The 25,653-nt window shown below is 35.5% G+C and overlaps 1 protein-coding gene across 1 annotated transcript in view, besides 1 other annotated feature; it reads left to right on the top strand.

The window, feature by feature from the left end:
- Positions 18,282–18,381: an enhancer, noted in NCBI's record as "active region_5957". NCBI's record gives its function as "activates an Ori minimal core promoter by ATAC-STARR-seq in GM12878 lymphoblastoid cells {active_cell/tissue: GM12878}" and the evidence as "EXISTENCE:reporter gene assay evidence [ECO:0000049][PMID:35858748]".
- KLRF1 (killer cell lectin like receptor F1) overlaps positions 20,280–25,653 on the top strand; it is a 44,954-nt gene continuing 39,580 nt past the window's right edge. The window contains exon 1 of the transcript NR_159359.1: positions 20,280–20,358. The gene's annotated coding sequence lies outside the window, so the exon portion shown is untranslated. The remainder of the gene's footprint in view (positions 20,359–25,653) is intronic.

A 25,653-nucleotide genomic window follows, 5' to 3' on the forward strand; every position in this document is an offset into this window, starting at 1 on the left:
TTATTGAGAATTGTTTTATGTTCAACTGTGTGGTTGATTTTAGAATATGCATGATGTGCAGATGAGAAGACTGTAAATTCTGTTGTTTTAGGAAGAGTGTTCTGTAGATATCTGTTAGGATCATTTGGTCAAGTGTTGAGTTTAGGTTCTAAATATCTTTGTTAGGTGTCTGCCTTAATGATTGGTCTAATACTGCCAGTAGGGTGTTGAAATCTTCCACTGTTATTGTATGGTAATCTAAGTCTCTTCATAGGTGTCTAAAAAGTTGCTGTATAAATCTGGGTGCTCCTGTTTGTGTGCGTATATATTTAGGATACTTAAGACTTCTCACTGAATCAAGCCCGTTAATATTATGTAATGCACTTCTTTGTTTTCGTGCTTTTTAACAAAAATCTTTGTTACAAGATTTTTAACAAAAATTCTGGTTTAAAGTCTGTTTTGTCTGAAATTAGAAGAACAATCCTTTCTTTTTGCTATTTTCCAGTTGCTTGGTAGATTTTTCTCCATGCCTTTACTGTGACTATGGATGTCATTGTATGTGAGCTGGGCTTCTTGAAGACAGCATACTGTTGGGTCATGCTTCTTTATCCAACTTGCCATGCTGTGCCTTTTTAATTGGAGCATTTAGCCCATTTACACTTAGAGTTAGTATTGATTTGTTCAGATTTGTTCCTGTCATCATATTGTTAGCTGGTTGTTATGCAGACGTATTTGTGTGATTGCTTTATAGTGTCACTGGTCTATGTCCATAAGTGTGTTTTTTTAATGGCTGGTAAAAGTCTTTCTTTCCCATGTTTAGCACTCCCTTCAGGACCTCTTGTAAGGCAGGTCTGGTGATAATGAAATCCCTTAGCATATGTTTGTCTGAAAAGGCTCTTATTTCTCCTTTGCTTATGAGGCTTGGTTAAATATGAAAATCTTGGTTGGAAATTGTTTTCTTCAAGATTGCTGAATATAGTGCCCCATTCTCTTCTGACTTGTAGGGTTTATGCTGAAAGATCTACTGTTAGGCTGATGGGGTTCCCTTTCTAGGTGACCTGCCCCTTCTCTCTAGCTGGCTTTAATATTTTTTCTTTCATTTCAACCTTGGAGAATCTAATGACTATGTGTTGAGGGGACGGAATTCTTGTATATTATTTTACAGGGGTTCTCTACATCTCCTGAATTTGAATGTTGGGCTGTTTAGCAGGGTTCTGAAAATTTTCATAGGTGGTATCCTGAAACATATTTTCCAAGTTACTTGCTTTCTCTCCCTGTCTCTCAGGGTCACCAGTGAGTTGTAGATCTGGTCTCTTTACACAATCCCAGATTTCTTGGAGACATTGTTTACTCTTTTTATTGTTTTTCCTGTATTTTGTCTGACTGAGTTATTCCAGACAGCTGGTCCTCAAGCTCTGAAATTCTTTCCTCAGTTTGGTCAATTCTGCTATTAATACTTGCAATTTTATTTTAAAATTCTTGAAATGAGTTTTTCAGCACTATTAGCTCAGTTTGATGCTTTCTTATAATGGCCATTTCATCTTTCATCTCTTGTATTATTTTATTGTGTTCTTTTGAATCCTTGGATTGGGTTTTGACTTTCTCTTGATTGTCGATGACATTTGTTCCTATCCATATTCTAAATTATATGTCTGTCATTTTAGCCATTTCAGCCTAGTTAAAAACAATTGCTGGGGAACTAGTGCAGTCATTAGGAGGTAAGAAGACACTCTGGCTTTTTGAGTTGTTAGAGTTCTGGCACTGGCTCTTTCTCATCTGTGTGGGCTGAAGTTCCTTTGATATTTGAAGTTACTGTCGTTTGGATGGGTTTTTATTTTTTGTTTTGATCTTGTTTGATGTCATTGGAGGTTTGCTATGGTATAAAATGGGTGCAGTTGACTGACTTTGTTTCTGATAGATTTTTGGGGGGCCAAGATTCAGCTCAGCACTCCTGGGCTGTGCACTCTGGGAGGCTGGTATAGGGCTCCCAGCTTTGTTCTCTGGACCATCAAGGTTGGCAACCTGCTTCACTGAAGGGGATGAAGTGTTCTCAGACCACTGGCAACAAAATTTCAAAGGGTGGCCCCAGCCAATGGACTTTGTCAGGCAGTGGCAGCAGGATCCATGCTTGTTCACTCATGCCAGAAGCAATGGCATCACAGCATGGTGCATAATTTGGTGGCTGGGTAGGAGTGCTGGCAGGCCCAGGGCTGTCATCCTCCATGCAGGCATTGGCAGCAGCAGCAGTCTTGGTTTAGGGTGGGCGGGTGGGGACTCCGGCCTTCTTCTGTGCATTCATACCTGTGGTGGTGTTGGCACTGGGGGGGGGTGGGCACTGGTGGGCATATATATATACATATATACACACACACATATACACACACACACATATTATTTTAAATATATATGAGCTATATATATATTTAAAATATATATATTTAAAAATATTTTATGTTTTTTCTCTTTTTGAATCCTGTTTGGGGAATTTTTTTTTTTTTTTTAGTTGACTGTAACCTTTTTTTTTTGAGATGGACTCTTGCTCTGTCACCCAGGCTGGAGTGCAGTGGCGTGATCTCAGCTCACTGCAAGCTCCACCTCCCGGGTTCACGCCATTCTCCTGCCTCAGCCTCCCGAGTAGCTGGGACTACAGGTGCCTGCCACCGCACCCAGCTAATTTTTTGTATTTTTAGTAGAGGCAGGTTTTCACCATGTTAGCCAGGATGGTCTCGATCTCCTGACCTCATGATCGCCTGCCTTGGCCTCCCAAAGTGCTGGGATTACAGGCGTGAGCCACCATGCCTGGCCAACTGAAACCTTTTAAAATAAATGCTTGTGCATGGTTTCTCCATTCACTTCCTTTTCTTAAAAATTGTTCTTTTATTTACTTTTATTCCACAGTATTCGTCCTTCCCCTTGCTATAATAAACACCAAGTGAAAAGATGTACACAAGACTTCTAATGACTCAGACCCCTTAAAGAACTCAGAATAAAGGTGACACTTACCCCTTTTCTGGGGTTTTCTGGTTTCTTTGTGGAGTTTCAAGAGTCACAGTGATATGGCTCCAATGAGTGGAGGAACACCAGGGGTCTTATCTCATGTGACATGGACACACATGGAGTGGTTTTAAGGAGCAGAGAGTTTAAGAGGCAAGAAAGAAGGTAGAAGAAAGAAAGAAGAACCTCCCTTGTACAGAGACAGAGGGAGGGGGCTCCAAAGCCGAGAGAGGAGACCCTCATATGTAGTGGAAACTTGGCTGCTTATAGGAGGAGGTTGGAGGAGGTGGTGTCTGATTTCCATAGGGCTCAAGGGATTGGTTTGACTCAGTATGTCACTCATGTAACCCACGAAAAAACTGGCCCCCCTACCCTAGTCTTTTAATATGCAAATACAGGGCGCCATGATGTTCTACACACATGGGGAATATGTGGGGGGTGGCCAGGTTGCCAGGAACATGTGGGGCAAAGGCAAGAAGAAGGTGGTGGGAATCTCCACGTTTGGGTGGACCCAGTTTCTAATGGCCTGCATTTGCATATCAAAGGTTACCGCAGGGCTCTAAGAGTGGCCTTTCCTGCTCCACAAGAAACATTTCTGGAGGTGCTTTAAAAGAAACGAAAATTTTCCAAGGACCCCTTTTCCTTTCTCTCTGCCTGCAATAATTTCTTAGTAACTCCTAACACAATAGGTAGACATTTCTCAGGTCTAAAGCTCTGCATTTTTTTGCATTGTGGTACTTGATCTTTTCAGCTTTTGGGGGTACCAGAAATTGCTTTGCATTATAAGATAATTTGACCTTTGGTATTTATAATGGCTAAGAAATGGGCTGATTACAGAGTAGGCTGATTGGCTTTGGGTTGCCCCGAAGCCCTGGGGAAATATCCTTACAATGAGGTACATTGGGGGCATTACACTGTCTCATCCCTTAATGTTTCCTTCTTTTTCTGGTCCCAGGGTTCAATGTAAAAATGAGATTTTTTATTTTGCTGGATCTGTGTTTTGCCTTCCAGCTATAGCTGCTTCTCACGTTTTTTGTTTGTTTGTTTTGTTTTGTTTTTTGAGACAGCATCTTGCTCTGTCGCCAGGCTGGAGAGCAGTGGCGCGATCTCAGCTCACTGCAACCTCTGCCTCCCAGTTCAAGTGATTCTCCTGCCTCAGCCTCCCGAGCAGCTGGGATTACAGGCGCACGCCACCACGCCTGGCTAATTTTTTGTATTTTTTAGTAGAGACGGGGTTTCACCGTGTTAGCCAGGATGGTCTTGATCTCCTGACCTCGTGACACACCCGCCTCAGCCTCCCAAAGTGCTGGGATTACAGGCGTGAGCCACCGCGCCCGGCCTCACATATTTAAATATTAGGTCCTAAAGACTGCATGCTCTCTTTCCCATGTTTACTGAAGGGCTCCACCCTGAAACCAATAATCTAACTAAGAAACAAGACTAAGTTAAAAAGCCAAAATACAACTTTGTAGCATTAGCTGGCTATCCTAAAAAGAAATTTATGTCTTTAAGGAAATCTCTTGTAAGGGTGCTTACCTGTGTACATTAGGAACTTTTACCATTGTTTTAAATTTACAAATATGCTTTTGTTTAAGGTACCTTTTTTGGTTGTCTTAATTGAACTTTTACTTACAGCATTTTTTCCCTTTGGTTTGAACAAATGATGATGCAGTACTTAGGCTTAATTTCTTAGCCTTGTGATTTTAAAATACAAATTCTCTATCTTGTTTTACCAAAGTTGTGCCTTTAGAAATGCAAATTTAAGGTTGCCTAGCCAACAATTGCCTAAGGCAATAAGGCAGGTAATTGAAAGAAATTGACAGTCTAAAATGGGAGAAGCGAACTTAAAAAACTGGCGAATAATGAACTTATAAATCTACAAGATCTGCTTCTATGTCTGTATGTCTATGTGTTTATACATGTCATTTGAATGTGATGTTTTACTACCAAAATATATAAAAGAGCTCTAGTTAATTGGCTTTAAAATAATAAGCACTTAAATTAAATATTTTAACAGAAAGATAAAAATTTTAACTCAAAGACTTTTAGTTCACGTGACTTTACTAAACTTTAGTAAATAGAGATAATTTGCAAATTTTTGATAAAATAATCAGAATGTCTTCCATTGAATTTAGACGTTTCATTTGAATTATTCCAGCAGGTCAGATATTGTCTCTGCTAGATGCTTTAAGGGATAAAACTTTGCTTCTATTTCCCTGTAAATTTAGGTGTTTACATATAAGCCATTAGGGGCCATGGGGAAGTCTACCTTCAGGCATTGTCTTTTGTCCTGAGCTTTGCTCCTCGTACGTAATTAAAATTTCTAAACTTCTAGGTTTTTCACTAAAAATAAGAATTACTATGAGTTAACTGTATAATGTATGTACACAAAGCTAATGGATATAAAACATCTCTGTATATAAAGAGTATAAGGAAAGCAGGATGTGTTTGGTAAATAGAAGGGTTATAAGAAGGCATGGAAATACAGTTTTTGCTAAAGTGAAAGTAATTTTGTCTAATTTAGAAGTTTTAAGGATGTATTTCTTTATAAGATTTTATTAAAATTAGCTTTAGTGTTAATAATACACTATACATAGGTTTTCTCTTTTAAACAAGATTTCTGTGTAATATTTAGAGATAATAAAATATTTTTGTTTACCTTTTGAGTAAACTGCAAAAAAAATAAGAGTAAGGGGAGAGAAGACACAGATTCAGATGACTTCATGCCATCTTTATTAGCCTTTATTGTTTGGGAAAGATATTCTTCTATTACAGAGTAAGGGTTTTTGCTTTTTAAAATCTTTGAATTATCATTTTGGCTAAATGGATGACTTACTTTACAGAGATCTGTGCTCTTATTTTGTCATATCAAGCGTTTTAATGTTTGCTATTTGACAAACTTTCCAAAATCAAAATTTCAAGTTCTAAATTCAGTCTTTTTGACTTTATTAAGTTTTTTAGATACTAGGTTCCCTGAAGTCTGAAAAAAAGACATATTCGGATTATTTGATATGTTAAAAATCATAAAGAAAGCATTGTCAAATACGAAACAATGTTTTCCTTTCTTTGGGTTCTATTTATATAAATGTTACTAATATGTGTTCTATTATTGTATGAAGTTCCTATAATTCTGATACGTCTTAATATATAAGTAATAATTATTATTATGTTAAATTATTGTATGCCACAGAAATAACAAAATTTTCTTACCAGTTATGTCTTTAACTGTTACTCTCCTAAGACTGTCATCCACAGATATTGTTTTATTTCGATTCTTCTCAAAAAAACAGTTTATAATCTGCCATAGTCCAAAATTTCCTTCTTTAATAAAATTAATTGAAAGGAGTTCACCAGTACTCCTGAATACAGGTTTCTGATAACTTTGGAAATCATACCATTGGACTAAACAAATGAACAAACAAACAAAAAACATCTTCCAAGATTCTAAAAGGCTGATAGTGTTCATGAGAATTGCTAACTGAATATCAAGCAGAACAAGAGCTCTGGAGCCTGGTACCTTGTCTACACAGTTCCTTCACAGGATTCCTGACCTGTGATAAGTGAAAAAATGTTACTTTCTGACAGGCCCAGGAACCCCAAGTTATCTTGAGACTTCATGAAAAGAGAAATTCACTCAATCCCTACAGGCATCTTGCAGATATTCAAATCCTTGGCTAGGCTCAAAAGGCTTTAAAAAGTGTAACCTGAGATTTCTTATGTTAAAAAACGTTTCAGCAAAGCCATTTTAAAAGGATCCTATAGGATAAATAATTATTCTTGGAGCAGCTTTTGCAAATAATCAGGCAAAGTAAAGTGAGACTAAAATTTATTTTGCAAATAAATTGGTCCTACTATGATGTTGTCTTTGATAACAATGTGGGACTGGAGAGAGAAAAATTGTGTTTCAAAAGAAACTATAGTACACCTGTTACTAGATTCTAGCGCTGTCCATTGTTTTTCAGTTTTTATCATTTGTGTACAATTTAACTAGACTGGATCCTGAATACTACCTACAAGGCTGCAAAGTAGTGTTTCCAAAAATTTTCTTCTCCCATTTTTCTGTCTTGGAATCACTAGAAATTATAACTGCTTTTCTTAAAGCCCTGTAAGCTGAAGTTAGGCAACTTATTTATATGTATAAATGCACACACACACACACTCACACACACACACACACACACTCCCCACATTCTTGCCTGCCTCCTGATGTGTGGACATCTCGGTAATATAGCCTGAATCAGTTATCCAAGATTGTTTTCCCTTTTGTTGCTATAATCTGGCTTTGGTCCCCCTCTTTTTCCCTCCTTTTCCCCCAGTCTTTCTTTGCCTACATTTCCCCCCCTTCTTTCTTCCTCCCCTTATTTTACTCTGTGGGACATAAGACTCTGTGATCTCCTAGAATGAGCCTTCCTAACAATGTGGGACCTATCCTTCTAGGAATAAAGCATTGTAGTGGCAAGGGATCAGATCAAGTCTGTGACAAGAGACTCATTTTCTTTTACAATACTTTCCCCAAAATATTTTGAACAATAGGAGGGATATATAAAAGAAAAATAAAATCTCAGGACCCGAAACACTGTGCAAAAAGGAAAGTTAGGCTTGGGAACTAGGTCATGCAAAAACTGATTTTTTTGTTGTTGTTGTTACCAAAGAGATGCAATTTCACATGCTGACTTTATATTATGTAAAATGTAAATTTACGGAGTACAATCCGAATGCATAATCGGCCGTTTCTCCACTCCTTCTTTTTACATGTAAAATGTAGATTCAGTGAGTGTGAATCAAAGCCTCATAAGAATGTAACCACTTGCCTTGTGGTTACACAAGAATGTAACCACTTTCCAAAGAAGGTTTTGAGAATATTAATATTTAAAGACAAAAGAGTGAGCAGGGCTTTTCTTTTCTTTCTTCTTTCTCTTCCTGCTCACTCTCTTGTCTTTAAATATTGAAGTCCTCAAAACCTTCTTTGGATAAAGTGTAAGTCTCAGATTGTACTGTAACTTACTTGTTTGTTTTTTTTTTTTCCCCCCCCATGTGCATCCTCAACCTTGGCAAAATAAACCGTAAAACTATTGAGAATTTCCTCAGTCATTTTTGGTTTTGGTTTACAATTTACAATCTTCTGTTTCGTTCAGTTCATTATTGAAAGTGGATACAAAAATCTCCAACTACTATTGCTTAATTGTCTTTTTTTCCCCTTTAATTCTGTTTTTGCTTTATAAATTTTGGGGTATATTTTTAGGTGCATATAGGTTTAAGATTGTCATGTCTTTATGACAGATTAGCCTTTTCATAATTGTAAAATGCCCTTTTTTGTTTCTAGAAATAATTTTTATCTCGAAGCCTATTTTGTCTTTTCATAACTGTATTCATGGTATACCTTTTTTATTCTTTTATTTTCTAACTATTTGTGTGTTTTAAACCTTGATGTGTCTCATGTATACAGCACTTAGTTGGATCCCATTTTGTGTCAATTTTTCTAATATCTGCCTTTTTTTTTTTTCCGGAAGCAGTGTCTCACTCTGTCTCCCATGCTGGGGTGCAGTGGCATGATCATAGCTCACTGTGGCCTTGAACTTGTGGGCTCAAGTGATCCTCCTGCCTAATCCTACAGGTGTGCACCACCACCCCTGGCTAATTTTTCAACAAAGGGTTTCGTAGAGATGGGTTTCACTATGTTGCCCAGACTGGTCTCCTGGCCTCATGTGATTCTTTCACCTCAACCTTCCAAGTGCTAAGATTACAGGCATGAGCCAGTGCTCCCAGCCTCCACCAATATCTACCTTTAGATCACGATGTTGAATCCATCTAAATTTAATGTAATAACTGATTTGTTAGAGTTTAAATCCGACTTTTGTTGTTTTCTATATGTCTTATGTCTTCTTATTTCTTTATCATTCCATTACTATATTCTTTTGTGTTAAATAGATATTTTCTCCAATTTAACTATATTGTTTTATTTTAATACATTTTCTCAGCTATTTCTTTAGTGGTTTTTCTGGGGGATTACCATTAACATTCTAATTCATAACAATCTAGGTAAGATTAATACAATCTTAATTTTAACAGTATCTCCAAACTTTACTCTTGGATAGCTCTGGACCCTCCCACTGTCTTTATTGTTGCCATATAAATTACAGCTTTATACATTAAATATCTATGCAAGTCTATAAAGTATGCATCTATACACATTTACAATTATTGCTTTATGCAATTTTATTTTAATAAGTTAGCAAAAAAATATAATTATTAAACAAAAATACATTAATATTGTCTTTTATATTTACTCATATAGTTACCTTTACCAATGATCTCTATGTTTTCATGTGGATTCAAGTTACTTCCTAGTTGTCCTTTTATTTCAGTCTGACGGACTCTCTGTAGCATTTATTGTAAGACAAATCTGCTAATAACAAATTCTTTTAATTTATATTTAACTTGGATTGTTAATTCTGGTAATAGGATTGCTAGATCAAATGGCAGGTCTACTTTAGTTCTTCGAGAAATCTCTGTACTATTCTCCATAGGGTTTTTATTAATTTACATTTTCACAAGGAGTGTATAAGTGTTTCCTTTGTAGCATATCTATGTCAACATCCAGAGTTTTCCAGTTTTGTAATTACAGCCATTCTTGCAGGAGTTAGATTGTATCTCATTGTGATTGTAATTTGCATTTCCCTGATTATTAGTGATATTGAGCATTTTTCATGTTTGTTGGCCATTTGTATATCTTCTTTTGAGAAGTGTCTATTTATACAATTTGCTCACTTTTTGATGGAATTATTTGTTTTCTTGCTGATTTGTTTGAGTTCTTTATAAACTCTGGATATTAGTCTTTTGTTAGATGCTTAGTTTGCAAATATTTTCTCCAATTCTGTGGGTTATCTGTTTACTCTGATTATGTCTTTTGGTGTGCAGAAGCTTTTTCATTTAATTAGGTCCCATTTATTTATTTTTGTTTTGTTACCTTTTCTTTTGGAGTATTAATCATAAGCTCTTTGCCTAACCCAATGTTCAGAAGAGTTTTTCTTTAGGTTTTCTTCTAGAATTTTTATGGTATCAAGCCTCAGATTTAAGTCTTTAATCCATCTTGAGTTGATTTTTGTATATAGTGAGGCATAGGGATACAGTTTCTTTCTTCTACATGTGGCTGTCCAGTTTTTCCAGCACCATTTATTGAATTATTTCCCCAATCTACGTACATTTTGTCAAAGATCAGTTGGTTATAAGTATTTGGCTTAATTTCTGGGTTATCTATCTATCCTGTTCCATTGGCTTACGTATTTAATTTTATACCAGTACCATGCTGTTTTGTTTATGATAGCCTTGTAGTATAATTTGAAGTCAGGTAATGTGATGCCTCCAGATTTGTTCTTTTTACTTAGGATTGCTTTGGCTATTCAGGCTCTTTTTTTGGTTCCATATGAATTTTAGAATTGTTTTCTGTAGTTCTGTGAAAAATGATGTTGATATTTTCATGGGAATTGCATTGAATCAGTAGATTGCTTTGGGCAGTGTGGTCATTTTCATGATATTGATGATCATATTATTATAGAAATTATTAAGAAATTATTTCAGGCAGATAGGATAAGTGGTCCTTGGTAAGGTTTTTTTCTTTAAATAAAAGCAGCTCCAGAAACATTTCTTTTTTAGCAAAAAAATGGCTTGAAGGGCCAAGCCAGCAAGCTTTGATATGCAAATGCTGGCTATTAGAAGCTGGGTCCATCCAATATGGCAAGTCCCACCTTCTTCTCCTTGTCACCACATGTGCCAAGCATCATGGCACCCCCAGAGGTCTCCACTGTGCAGAAAATCATGGCGGCCTGCATTTGCATATTAAAAGACTAGGGTGGGAGAGCCAGTTTTTTTGCAGGCTATGTGAATGACATACTAAGTCAAACCAATCCCCTGGGCCTATAAAAATCAGACACCACCTCCTCCAGCCTTCTAATATAACAGATTGTTTCCACCATACTTGGGGTTTCCTCTCTCTGCTTGGAGCCACCCCCACCCCTCACCGACCCCCCGTCTCTGTAGCTGGGAGCTTCTTCTTTCTTTCTTGCCTATTAAACTCTCTGTTCCTTAAAACCACTCCATGTGTGTCCATGTTGTCTTATCTAAATTGGCGTGAGACAAAGGACTCTGGTGTTCCTCCATTCATTGAAGCTGTATCAATATTTTGTATCATTTCAATGAACTACTATAGGCAGCCCATCCCTTAAGTTTCCCTCTTAAGTTTTTTGGTCAGCTTTTCCTTTGCCCCAGCTGTTATTCCATATTAAGCAGCTGCAATGTACAGCAATAGGTGCTGATTGTTTTTGTCAAATACCCCTAGGGAAAAAGTCATTTGCACTGAGCGAGCTCTGTTTGAGATCAACTAAAGTCGTAGGTGGGAATTTCCAAGATCATGTTTGATAGTTTGAATAATGACAGTACTCTAAGAATAATTTTTGGGACTTCTAAACCCTTTATGGCCCCTCTGAGACCTGTTGGGCTACAGTTCACTACTGCTACTATAGTTGTAAGACCTACTATAGTTTTTCAAGGCTACTGTGAAGCTGAGGAATACGGAATAGGAATAGAGCAAGTTAAATCTCCACAAAGGTCACTGTTTTCAATTAAATTCACCTATTTTCTTGAGTAAATGCTTGCCAGATTTTTGCAAGTCTTTGGTTAATTCACAGTATTCTGAGGAAGTTTGTTTTGACAGTTTTTGTCAATGTTCTTGTTGATTTTATGAAGGAATAGCTTTTTGTAGGTCTTTATTCCACTGTTTCTGCTCATGTCTGGCAAGACAATTAAGCAGGTAATTATGAGGGCATGTAGAACACATCTTGGAGAATTTATTCTCAAGGTGGCATTCTATAAAATTATGTAAATATTTAATCTGAGAAGTGAAAGATGAGACAGTTTTCCAGGTGAATAAGGCAGAGGAAAAACAACAACAACAACAACTTTGTAGACAAGGGTAAAATGTACAAGTCTTAGAGATGGGAGAAAGAATGGTCCACTACAGTGAGACTGAAGAATGGAACAAGAGACAAAGCCAGATTACAGGGTGAAATCAATGCTGTTAAATAGTCTGGAATTATTCTAAGTGCAGAAAGAAAGTAATAAATTCTTATAAATTTGGGACAAATTGCAATTAGATATTAATTTTTGGAAGTTAACAGGTGCAATTTTTGGAAGTTACTCAGTCTAACAGGTGCAAGATGAACTGGAATAAAGGGATACCATAGAGAGATGACTGCCTTTAAGACCAATGCAGTGGAAGTAGAGATGATGGAAAGTTGTTGAATTAAAGACATTACTAGTCATTACAGTCTATGATTTATTAGGTAGGGTCATTTAATCAGAAAAAAATGCAGACAGAGAGTCAAGGATGGCCTTCATGCTTTGATTCCTAAAACTGTGGGCAGTATTCTTTCAAATGAGTCAGAAATTAGGGGGTAAAATTAGATTTAGAAAAGAATCAAAATGATCACTTTTGTTTCTGGAATATGTGGGAGATTGAGTTGGATATTTTAATGGACTTTTGGATATATGCTGCTAGCCCTAAGCAAAGGAGTCTGATCAGGAAAATTTATCTATCTATCTATCTATCTATCTATCTATCTATCTATCTATCCATCTATCTATCTATCTATCTGCATATATGTGTGTATATATGTATATATATGTGTGTGTGTGTGTGTATATATATATATATGTCTTCCTTATCTTTTGATTTAAAAACTGGTTTTCCATTTACAATGGGTGCAATGGTGTGTCTCCACTTTGGACTGAAGCCTCATTGTCTCAGCACCTGGGAGTCAGAAGCTTTCAACTGAATCTTCCTTGTATGGCTCTCAGCTAAACAGAAGTGCCTTCTCAAAGTCACACTTTCTCCCAGTGCCAGATGTATCAAACGGCTGGTTCGTGTGGGAGTATAAAAGCTTGGACTTGTTGCCTTATATCAAGATAAACTTGAAAGGGCACTCACCTCCAGAGCTCCCTATACTGTTAGCTGAAGCCTTTGTGTTACTGCATCACAATTCAATATCTGCCTTTGCCCAATCCTTTCTTTCTCATCCACAGGTACTTAACATCCTTTATGTAATCCTTCATCTGAGAGTCTGTTTTTGAGGAACCTGACCTGTAACACAGCCTGAAGAAATTTGGGGACAAATCCTAGCAAAAAATTGGGATATCATTCTTGATGTATTTATTTTTTGGATGATACATATCATTTTACTCCCTAAGAGCCATACCAATCAATACTACAAAAGAATGAGCAAACGGAATTTCTCTGCAGCCTGTATCTCAACAAGATCTGCTCCTCCAACTCCTTGCATCTGGCATTTTTTGGGGGATAATCATAAGGAATGTTTTGACTCTCTGATAAACACACAGAAATGAACATTTTGTAGGAAACCATAAACATGAGTCATACAGATAAAAAGCAAACATAGTTCTATTTACTGTCATCAGAGTATGTAGATCAATATTTTATTGCATTGGAAGCTTCATCTGCCATTTTTAAAGTAATCATTTCAACCAGGAGGATGGTATATTCTGACTGAAAACCTCCCAGGACCATATTATGTAGGCAAATGATTTTTTCCAAAGAAATAGACAGGAAAGTGGCTGTAAAGACAAAATGTATACCTTTGACTATAGTGGCTAAGGCCGTATCTCTGTGTTTTTTCCATTGACCACATGGTTGGTTTGAGTCATAGGTGTACTGAGTCAAATGGAATTGAATGATAAAATCAAGGAGCACTTTGTATCCAGAAGTACAGCAGAACATATCAAATATTAAATTGATGCATAAAATAGGAAATATCTTTGTTTACCTACATGTTAATACTAAAAAGTACTATTGCCCCATGCTTCACGATGAATATCAGGAAAGTAAGAACCATGGGAGATAAAAAATGAATTAACATAGTCTCCGACCTGTGTGTCTACAGTTGAATTTTATACATATAAGCCTTATAAATAAAGCATTTTACCTGCAAAAAAAGTGATCATAAAATAATATGATTACACAATTACACAAGGTGATAAAAGGAAAAGTTCTAATAAAGGGGCTAAGGAGCCGTGTGATAAACCAGTTGTAGGAAATATACTTCTCAGTCTTGCTTTGGATGTTGGAACGGTTTTTGAATGTCCTGGTTTTAGGAAAACTCACCTTCTACCTTTCTTCGAAACTTCAGAATTCATTTGCAACCAAATAAGGAAGTAACTCCTACGCATCTGTTTCCTATACACGTTTCTCTTCATTTCACCACAAAACTATGTAATTTATAGGAAGTCAATTTAACTTCTTTTCTTAGAAACAAGAAGTTACAAATTTCAAGGGTATTTTTGGAGGTATTGGCGGTTTACAATTTCATTCAAGGTTATTGTCATAGTTTGTTACACTTTTTAGTATAAGAAAAGCCTAATACAAAATATGTCAAACTAGCAAATAATTGAATTAATTTAAAAGAAGATAAAATGAGAACATTAATAAGAAGAATAAATATAGAACCCAACGTACCTTGAATTTCAGTGAAGCAACAAATTGTTTTTCTTAAAATATCTGTGTTTATATGAGCACTAAGTGGGCTGGGATTGTAAAATCCTGTTAGTAACAGCGGAATCACCTTTGTATCATGACAATGATGAAATTACTGTCTCTTGTCACAGCTGTGTGATTTGACTAATATAATTTGGCTTATATAATTCCCCAGCAATTAAATCTACTTTTCTGATTACACTACACCTGCACCTTAATAGGTGTATTTAGCTGGGGAAATAAAAAATCATGCTGAAATGTCTCATTTAAAAAACATAACCCACTTGAAACAGGCTTTTGTAGTTAGTACTGCACCCTAAACTATTCCTGTCAAGACCACCAATGACCTTCATTTTACAAAACTAATGACTGGTTCTCTGTTTTCATCTTGATTTCCATTTCTTTCTCTTTCTGTTTCTCTCTCTCAGTTTGGCTTGCATGAAACTTTTCTTCTATGTCACTAGTCATTTCTCTGAAGAAGCCCTTTTCACCCCTTTGTTTTCTTCTACTTTATCTGCACAAGCTTCCTAGATTATCTCATCCAGCCCATAGCATTAATGCCTTCCATATTCTTACGACCTGTTTTTCAGCTTTGACCTCCTTTTTGCATTCCATATTTGTCTGGCAACCGCTTAGTCACACTCTCTACTTCAGTGTCAAATTGACATTTTGAATTTAAAATGTTAAAAGCTCATCTTCTCATTTTGCCTTTCATACCAGCTTATTCTCCAGCTTTTCATATCTCAATGGTAGTTTTATCACATTCACACATATCAAAAACTCCTGAGACAACTTTGTCCTCTCTCTCCTAAACACAACATCTAACCCTCAGTGAGCAATGCACACAGAATCATACGTCCACTGCGACCACTGTATTTCACATTTCACGCTAACACCAACAATTGCCTGCTATCGTTAACAGTGTTTTAATTGTGATCTTTCTGCTTCTGTCTTGAAGCAATGGTAAAGAACTCCCTGGACCCCCATATTTATGCCTGGACCCTGCTTTGTTTCTTCAAGGCACTTTTCCTCCAGCCGAATTATTAGTATAAGATTGTTCTGTTTGCTGCCTATCTCCCTTCATTTGAATGTAAGCAGCATAAGGGCATCAGTTTTCTTGTACTAATTGCTATATACCTAGTGCCGAGAACATTGCCAGGTGATAGCAGATGTTCAATAAGTATTTGTTTAATTAATACAGACATCGATGTGTACATATGATAGTGAGCGAGAGTGGGTAGATCGAGGATGATTATATTAAAAGATGTGATCAGAGAGGACTTCTCTGAATAATCCAGATTTCTTCTAGATTTCTCATTTGTAAGTATGGTAGTGCTCCTGAGAGAAAAAGGCACTGCAGACGTGATATGCAGATAGCAAGTCCAAGAAGTAAGAAGCAGAAGCCTTCTTACCTTCGTGTACCATATATTCTCTTTGGTTTTACCCTGCTTTGAAAGGTACCGTGACTCTGTACCTCTCAAAATTTCATTTCCAGTGGTCCAATATATACTCAGCCTGAGCTCGCTGAAAAATCTCCAGCTCTTTTTTTCTGGGCAGGTGATATTGGCAGCATCCTGGCCAGGAGGTCTAGCCTGAGAAATAGAACTTTTTCAAATAGCGTGTCTTGTATTGATTCCTCTTGTTGCATCAGTTAACCACCAAACATTTATCATGATTTAAGTTTACATCCTCAACACTTTTCATATATTTTCTACAGGAGAATGGTGGAAATCAAGGAGGGGGAGTATGTCAACCACTGGAATACTGTGAGGACGAACGCATTGGCTTTTACATGGGTTTTAGGAAGAACCACATGATTGACAGTGTCAGTCCACATCCCTTCTGATTATCCACAAATTAAAAATTGAGCTGAGATCTGAATGGTGATTGAATTTGTCTGGGAAGACACTACCATTGTTGTTTTGATTGTCATTATTTAATATCTGTCATTTAAAGACCCCACCATTTTCTTCCTTTAGGAGGAAAAACCATCTTGGCTTTTCTGCTGTAATTATTCTTCTGGATAACTCTCAGAATAATTTTTGTTCTGATTTTGTCAAGGTATTAAATAATTACTGATATGTTGCTATATTATATATTTAATTTTCGGTTTTCTTCTTACCGGGCTTCTCAGAAAAATTTGACGTAATTGATCTTTACTTTTCCTTTATACACTTCCTTCCTTTGGTTGCTAGAGAAGTAGTATCGATAATACTAGTGATATCAACATCACCATCTTTACCACTTCTAATGCTGCCGCTGACTCTACCACTATCAATCTCTTCATGTGAATTACACATAAGGGTTGTTTTGTGTTTCATATTAACTTTCTTAGGTGTTTTCTTTAAAGTACTCATAATTGTAACTATAATATGCAGTTTCCTATGTAATCATTTGATAGTGGAGGATTTATGGTGAATTATTTTCATGAGACTGCCTGAAATTTTATACTCTCTGGTTAGAGATCTTTTGTTAATTTCTTCCCATAAGTGTGTGTGTGTGTGTGAATTTCATTTTAAAGAAAAAATGAGAAAAAATTTATTTCCAGGACACAGAATAAATTGGAAACAGACATACTTCTGTCTGTTTTTTTTCACTGCTCATTTTATTCAATTCAAAACAATATAAACATTCAGATACTCTTTGAGCTGGTTTCAGGATTTTAGACCTCTGTGAATAATTTTTTTTCTTCTTTTTTACGAGTATTCCAACCACATTTTTGGGGGGAGCAGGCATATTCATTTTGCTGTTGAAATTATGGCAAAAACTGCAATGACTTTTGCACCAATCTAATACATGCTGTCGTTTACAATTAGGTAGCTTTCAAAAGGCAGGGGCCGGCGATCAGCCTTTTATGCATCTAATCTTGGGTAACAAGGACTGGCTGTAATGAACTGTAATGATAACTCCATTATAACTTCAGCTAAAGTATGTGTTGCATATTGTTTTCTTCGTAAATGTTAAACAGGAAGTAAGCATCATTTAGGACAAGGAATTCTCAGAAAAAAAAAATAAACACCACATTGAACGTTTACACAAATTTTAGTGGAACTTACTTTGGCGCAATGCCTAACAGAGTAAGTTACTAACTCTCTTTTTTATTCCTTAAAGAAAGAAAGAAAATAAATGAATTTACAGTAATGTTGGAGTTTTCAGGCCTATTGAAGATTTGGGATAGATTGTGCTAGAACAGATTGACATTGACAGATTTCAAGTTCCTTTTGCAAGTTATTTTACTTTGTATTTTAAAGAGGCAATATGTTTATAAAGCAATCAAATTAGCCTATTTGTGGCATATAAACTTTTTATATAATAAAGCTGGGAAAAAGAAACTCTAATTTCTTTACCAGCTTGAGGGCAATTGACTCTAATACAAGAGGGTTCCTAATCATTAACATATATGTTTATTTGCATTCATAAACTTGAAATGCATATTCAGTTGTCTTATTTGGTATTTAATAGTAGGGGGATATCCTAAATCAAAATTACTTTAATTTATATAATTGTAATCATTTCAATGTTTTTGGAGGGGGAGATAATCCTAAAAACTAAAATTTAAAAGATGAAACTATTCATTATTCCTGCTGTATAACAGATGGTGAATGCAGGCACATAATAATAGGCAGTGTGGCAATACTGAGCACAATGACCAGATCAGGACAGATGCTTAAAAATATTTTAAAAAAATAATTAGAGTAATTGTTTTGTATGACTCGAAGAAAGAATCGGGTTAAATAATAGAGGGCACAGGGCCAGCGAATTAAAGCACATCACTTGATTTTGTGTTTCAAATAACTGCCTTGGAGTAAATGAGCTCCTCAGACCAATTTCTGACACAAGGCCTACACCTCACAGCCTTCCTGTTCTTCTGCATTCCTGCAAGGGCTCTTGCACGTAGACCTTCAGTTCGCTTGTGAACTGTTGCTCTCTAGTGGTGGTGTGAGGCCTTAAGGAAACACCTGCTACTGTGTGGTCAGGAGGTAAAGTGCTGGGCTCTCATATTGTCCTCCCTGTAAACACCTTCCTTTCTGCGTTTGGACACCTTCACCAGATTCTATTTTCCATTTGATCATTAGTCAAACACTTATTAGACAAACAAGTGGGCCAGAAACTGACAGATGTTAGAAATACACAAATAAAAGTTATAGACTCTTCTATTTCATGTGTTTCATAAAGTATTAATGGTATATAAATTAAAAAATAGAAATTAGGTAAGAATAACCTCCATCACCGATATTTGACATTTCCTTTCTCAATTATAAATCATTGATCTTAAGTTATTGTTCTTTCAATATCTGAAACATTCTAGGTATTAAATTGATATTGAGTGAGTGAATGAGTGAAAGAATGAATGCGTGTATGGTAGAAGCTATTTTGGGGAAAACGGTCTTCAATGCTCAGGTATTATTAAGAGCAAAGCTGCTTTCTCTATCTATGTAGTGTTTATGACCAAGAGAAAAGGCTTAGATATATGAGCAGAAACAGAGGATTTTGCAGTTTATTTTCTAAACTTTGGTCTTTTGTACTTTATGTGAATGTTCAATCACATGGTTTTAATATATTTTTCATATATGTTTCAACTTTGTATGATGTGAAATCACAGAAATTATATCATCTGTTGTATTTTATTATATAATATCTATTTTTTGATCCCATAGAAGTACCAGGGTGTTTTTTTTTTTCCTTTCAGGGGTCATTGTTTGCATAAAAAGAAAAAAAAAACTAATTTAACTAGATATTTAAGTGATTTGCAAAGCAGTGTGTTTCCAGCTGTTGAAGGACTAAGGTTTTAAGAGAGTATAGAACCGATTGTACTACTCATTAGTCTAGGTAAAGCTTGTGTGGAGAAACAGCTCCATGAAGTCAGATTTGAGGCCTCTAAGTCCTAGCCCCAGAATTTTACTATCTCTAGGTAACTTTGGAGAATAATATGATTCTTCTTATGTTTCTATTCTTCGTTTTCAAACAAGGTTAACAATCTAAGCTGCAACTAAAGTGTGATAAGAGGTTCTAATGATATAATGCATGTAGAATACATGTAGAAATCACTTCATGTTTGAATTACCACTACCAATGCTCAATCAGAAAAAGTATCTTAATATCCACCTTTGTCTTGTCAATTTGTTCCCTTTCTGTTCTATCAGATGTAGTTCTAGAGATTTCTAAGCCTTGCCATCATACACTTTTTCTCTATATTTGAGCTTAGCCTGTATTGTAAATATAAAATCCTTTGAGGCAGTTGAAGCTTTTACTAATATCTTTATTCTCCAGTATCTAGCACATTAGCTGACAAGCAATAAGTTCTTGATTTATTAATTTATAATGTATAGGCATTTAATATTAACTTTTAAAATAATTAGACAATGAATATATAAATTCAGAGCACATATCCATTAAAGGCATGTAAGCAAACACATTACAAACATCTATAAGAAAAGGGCCCCATAATTATTTAAAAAAGTGATTATGTGATATTTTATAGTTTTGTGCCTCAAGAATATATTTTTTGCAGCTCATGTATTTTTAATATGCACACTTTTTATTTAAATCTTGTATTTTATTTAAATCTTTTATTTATTTAATTATTTAAACTACGCATTTTAAGGGTCTTCCATGCCTTTTCATAGCTTGATAGCCCATTTCATTTTAGTGATGAAGAATGTTCCATTGTCTGAATGTACCACAGTTTATCCATTCACCTACTGAAAGACATCTTGGTTTCTTCCAAGGTTTGGCAATTATGAATAAAGCTGCTGTAAACATTCATGAGCAGGCTTTTGTGTGGACATAAGTTGTCGACTCATTTGGATAAAGACCAAGAAGTGGGATTACTGGATTATATGGTAAGAATGTGTTTAGTTTTCTAAGAAACTGTCAACATGTTTTCCAAGTGGCTGTGCCATTTTGCATTTCAATCAGCAAAGAATGAAAGTCCTATTGCTCCACATCTTTATCAGCATTTGGTGTTGTTCATATTTTGGATTTTGACATTTCTAATTGGTGTGTAAATGTTTTCAAAGAAAATTTTAAATTTCAATAGCTTTTGGAGTACAAGTGATTTTTGGTCACATGGATGAATTTATATAGTGGTGAATTCTGAGATTTTATTACACTCATCAATCACCCAAGTAGTGCACTCTTTACCCAATATGTAGTTTTTTATTCCAAAACCCCTCCTATTCTTCCCCTTCTGAGTCTCCAAAGTCCATTATATCACTCTGTGCGCCTTTGTATACTCATAACTTAACTCCCACTTATAAGTGAGAACATATAGTAATTGGTTTTTCTGTAATAGCATGTTTTAATGTGAAATTACCTAATGACATATGATATTGATCATATTTTAATAAGGTTATTTTCCATTTGTATATCTTCTTAACAAGGTATCTGTTCAGATCTTTGGCCCATTTTTTAATCAGGTAATTCATTTTCTTATTGTTGAGCTTTAAGAGTTATTTATCTATTTTGGATTACAGTCCTTTATCTGATATGTCTTTTGTTAAGTATTTTCTTTTGGTCTGTGGCTTATCTTTTCATTTTTTAAAAAATTTTATTCATTTATTTTTAAGTTCCAGGATACAAGTGCAGAACATGTAGGTTTGTTACATAGGTATACGTGTGCCATGGTGGATTGCTGCACCTATCAACCCACTATCTAGGTTTTAAGCCCCACATGCATTAGCTATTTGTCCTAATGCTCTCCCTCCCCTTCCCCCCATCCCCTGACTGGCACTAGTGTGTGTTGTTCCCCTCCCTGTGTCCATGTGTTCTCATTGTTTAACTCCCACTGATGAGTGAGAGCATGCGGTGTTTGGTTTTCTGTTCCTGTGTTAGTTTGCTGAGGATGATGGCTTCCAGCTTCATTCATGTCCCTGAAAAGGACATGATCTCATTCTTTTTTATGGCTGCATAGTATTCCATGGTGTATATGTACCACATTTTCTTTATCCAGTCTATCATTGATGGGCATTTGGGTTGGTTCCATATCTTTGCTATTGTGAATGGTGCTGCAATAGACATATGTCTGCATGTGTCTTTATAGTAGAATGATTTATGCTCCTTTGGGTATATACCCAGTAATGGGATTGCTGGGTCAAATGGTATTTCTGGTACTAGATCCTTGAGGAATCACCACACTGTCTTCTACAATGGTAGAACAAATTTACATTCCCACCAAGAGTGTAAAAGCATTCCACTATCTCCACAGCCTCACCAGCATCTATAGTTTCTTGACTTTTTAATAATCGCCATTCTGAATGGTGTGAGATGGTATCTCATTGTGGTTTTGATTTGCATTTCTCTAATGACAAGTGATGTTGAGCTTTTTTTCATATGTTTGTTGGCCACATAATGTCTTCTTTTGAGAAGTGTCTGTTCATATCCTTTGCCCACTTTTTGAATGGGATTGTTTGTTTCGTTCTTGTAAATTTGTTTAAGTTCCTTTTAGATTATGGATATTAGACCTTTATCAGATGGGTAGATTGCAAATATTGTCTCCCATTCTGTAGGTTGCCTGTTCACTCTGAGGATAGTTTACTTTGCTGTGCAGAAGCTCTTTAGTTTAATTAGATCCCATTTGTCAATTTTGGCTTTTGTTGCAATTGCTTTTAGCATTTTCATCATGAAGTCTTTGCCCATACCTATGCTCTGAATGGTATTGCTTAGGTTTTCTTTTAGGATTTTTATGGTTTGTGTTTTCTGAGGCCAGAATCATCCCGATACCAAAATCTGGCAGAGACACAACAAAAAAAGAAAACCTCAGGTCAATATCCCTGATGAACATCAATGCAAAAATCCTCAATATCATACTGGCAAACTGAATCCAGCAGCACATCAAAAAGCTTATCCATCACAATCAAGTTGGCTTCATCCCTGGGATACAAGGCTAGTTCAACATATACAAATCAATAAATGTAATCCGTCACATAAACAGAACCAATGACAAAAATCATATGATTATCTCAATAGATGCAGAAAAGGCCTTTGATAAAATTCAACATCCCTTCATGTTAAAAACTCTCAATAAACTAGGTATTGATGGATGTGTCTCAAAATAATAAGAGTTATTTATGACAAACCCACAGCCAATATCATACTGAATGGGCAAAAGCTGGAAGCATTCACTTTGAAAACCGGCACAAGACAAGTATTTCCTCTCTCACCACTCCTATTCAACTAAGTATTGGAAGTTTTGGCCAGGGCAATCAGGCAAGAGAAAGAAATAAAGGATATTCAAATAGGAATAGAGGAAATAAAATTGTCTCTGTTTGCAGACAACATGATTCTATATTTAGAAAACCCCATTGTCTCAGCCTAAAAACTCCTTAATGAGCCCAAAAATCAATGTGCAAAAATCACAAGCATTCATATACACCAATAACAGACAAGCAGAGAACAAAATCATGAATAAATTCCCATTCACAATTGCTATGAAGAGAATAAAATACCTAGGAATACAGCCTACAAGGGATGTGAAGGACTTCTTCAAGGAGAACTACAAAGCACTGCTCAAGGAAATAAGAGAGGACACAAACAAATGAAAAACATTCCATGCTCGTGGATAGGAAGAGTCAGTATTATAAAAATGGCCATACTGCCCAAGGTAATTTATAGATTCAATGATATTCCCACCAAACTACCACAGACATTCTTCACAGAATTAGAAAAAACTACTTTAAATTTTATATGGAACCAAAAAAGAGCCCGTAAAGCCAAGACAATTCTAAGCAAAAAGAACAAAGCTGGAGGCAGCATGCTACCTGACTTCAAAATATACTGCAAGGCTACAGTAACCAAAGCAGCATGGTACTGGTACCAAAGCAGACACATAGACCAATGGAACAAAACAGAGACCTTGGAAATAACATCACACATCTACAACCATTTGATCTTCGACAAACCTGACAAAAATAAGCAATGGGGAAAGGATTCCCTATTTAATAAATGGTGCTGGGAGAACTAGCTAGCCATATGCAGAAAACAGAATCTGGACCTCTTCGTTGCACCTTATACAAAAATTAACTCAAGATGGATTAGAGACTTAAGTGTGAAACCCAAAACCATAAAAACCCTGGAAGAAAACCTTTTCATTGTTTTGACAGTATCTTGGGCAGAGTAGAAGTCTTTAAGTCTTTAGTTTGAAAAAAGTTCAGTTTATTAATCCTTTCTTTCATAAATCATATCTTTGGTGTTGTATCTAAAAAATTCTCATACCCAACATCATCTAGATTTTATTTTAAGTTTTATTCTATGAGTTTTATGGTTTTGTGTTTTACATTTTTTCATAAAATTTATTTTGAGTTAATTTTTGAGAAGAGTACAAATTCTGTCTGTTTTTATTTAAAAATTTTTCTCTTCTTCTTATTTTTTGCTTGTGGATGTCCAGTTCCAGCATCACTGTTATAAAGAAGATCCTTTGCTCCTTTGTACTCTCTTGCTGCCTTGTCAAAGATCAGTTTACTGCATTTATGTGAGTCTACATCTGGGCTGTCCATTCTGTTCCCTTGATCTGTTTGTCTTTTCTTTAGTTAACAACACACTCTTGATTACTGCAGCTTTATACTAAGTCTTGAAGTCAAGTAATGTCAGTCCAAATTTGTTCTTCTCTTTCAATATTGTGTTGGCTTTTCTGTTTCTTTTCCCTCTCCATATAAACCTTAGAATAACTTTGTTGATATCCTGGAAATAACTTGCTGGGATTTAACATTTTGAGGCATTGCCAAACTGTTTACCAAAGTGGCTACACCATTTTACATTCTCATTAGCAAGGTAGCTAGGTCTGATTTTTCTCCATCCTTATCAATACTTGTTATTGTCTGTCTTTTTTATTATAGCTATCCTAGTGGGCATGAAATGATATCTTATTATGGTTTTCATTTGTGTTTCTTTAATAACTATGTTCTTGATAATCATTCATGGCCTTTTTTCAATTTGTGTCTTTTATGTCTTCTTGGGAGAAATGTCTTTTCAGATCTTTTGCCCATATTTTAATGGGGTAATGTATCTTTTAAATAATGAATTGTAGGAGTTCTTTATATATTCTTCTTTCAAGTCCTCCATCAGATATATGATATGCAAAAATTTTCTCACATTATGGGTTATCCTTTCACTTTTTTGATAGTATTATGTTAAGCAAAAATGTTTTTAATTTTGAGGAAGTTCAATTTATCTGTTTTTTCTTTGATTATTTGTGCGATTAGTGTAATATCTAAAGAAACTATTTCTAAAACAGATTATGAAGATTTATGGTCATTTTTCACTTAAAAGTTTTATTGTTTTTCTGTTACTTTAGGTTGTTGATTTTTTTGATTTAAATTGTATATGGTGTAGCAAGAGGTTTAACTTTATGTTTTGTATATGAATATCCAGTTGTTCAAGAATCATTTGTTCAAATACTTCTCTGAGAGTAGATATCCTTGTCTTGTTCCTGATCTTATAGGGAAAGCCTCAAGTCTGTTATACCAAGTATAACACCAAATGTGTTTTTTTGTAGATGTTCTGTATCAGATTGAAAAAGTTCCCTTACCTTAATCATTTGTTGACTGTTTTCAGCATAGAAGAGTGTTTTTATATGTCAGTTGGGAAGATCATATTGTTTTGATGTTTTATTTTATTGATATGGTATATTAAATTAATATATTTTTGGATGTTCAACCAATTTTGCATTTCTGAGATACATTCTATTTGATCATTGTGTAATACTTTTTGTGTATTGTTTGATTCAATTTGCTAATATTTTATTGACAATTTTTATATCTATAGTAATAAGAGCCTGTAGTTTTCTTTTCTTGTAATTTTTTAACATAGTATTATATTATTATCAGTGTGTTGTTGGCTTCAAGAAATGAGTTGGGAAATTGTGATTATCTATTCCTGCTGCTGTAACAAAATACCTTAGACTGGGCAATTTATAAATAATAGAAATTTATTTCTTACAATTCTGGAGGCTCAGAAGCCCAAAATCAAGCTGCTAGCAGGCTCAATGTCCAGTAAAGGCCTGGTCTCTGCTTCCAAGATGACACATTGACATCTTGTGTGTCCCTTCTGTCTCACGTGACAGAAGGGACAAAAGGGCAAGAGGGATGGAAGGGCCCAAAGGACCCAAGCTAATTCCCTCCAGCCCTTTTAATAAGGTCACC

This window comes from Homo sapiens, chromosome 12 (assembly GCF_000001405.40).
Source record: "Homo sapiens chromosome 12, GRCh38.p14 Primary Assembly".
Classification (NCBI taxonomy): Eukaryota; Metazoa; Chordata; class Mammalia; order Primates; family Hominidae; genus Homo; species Homo sapiens.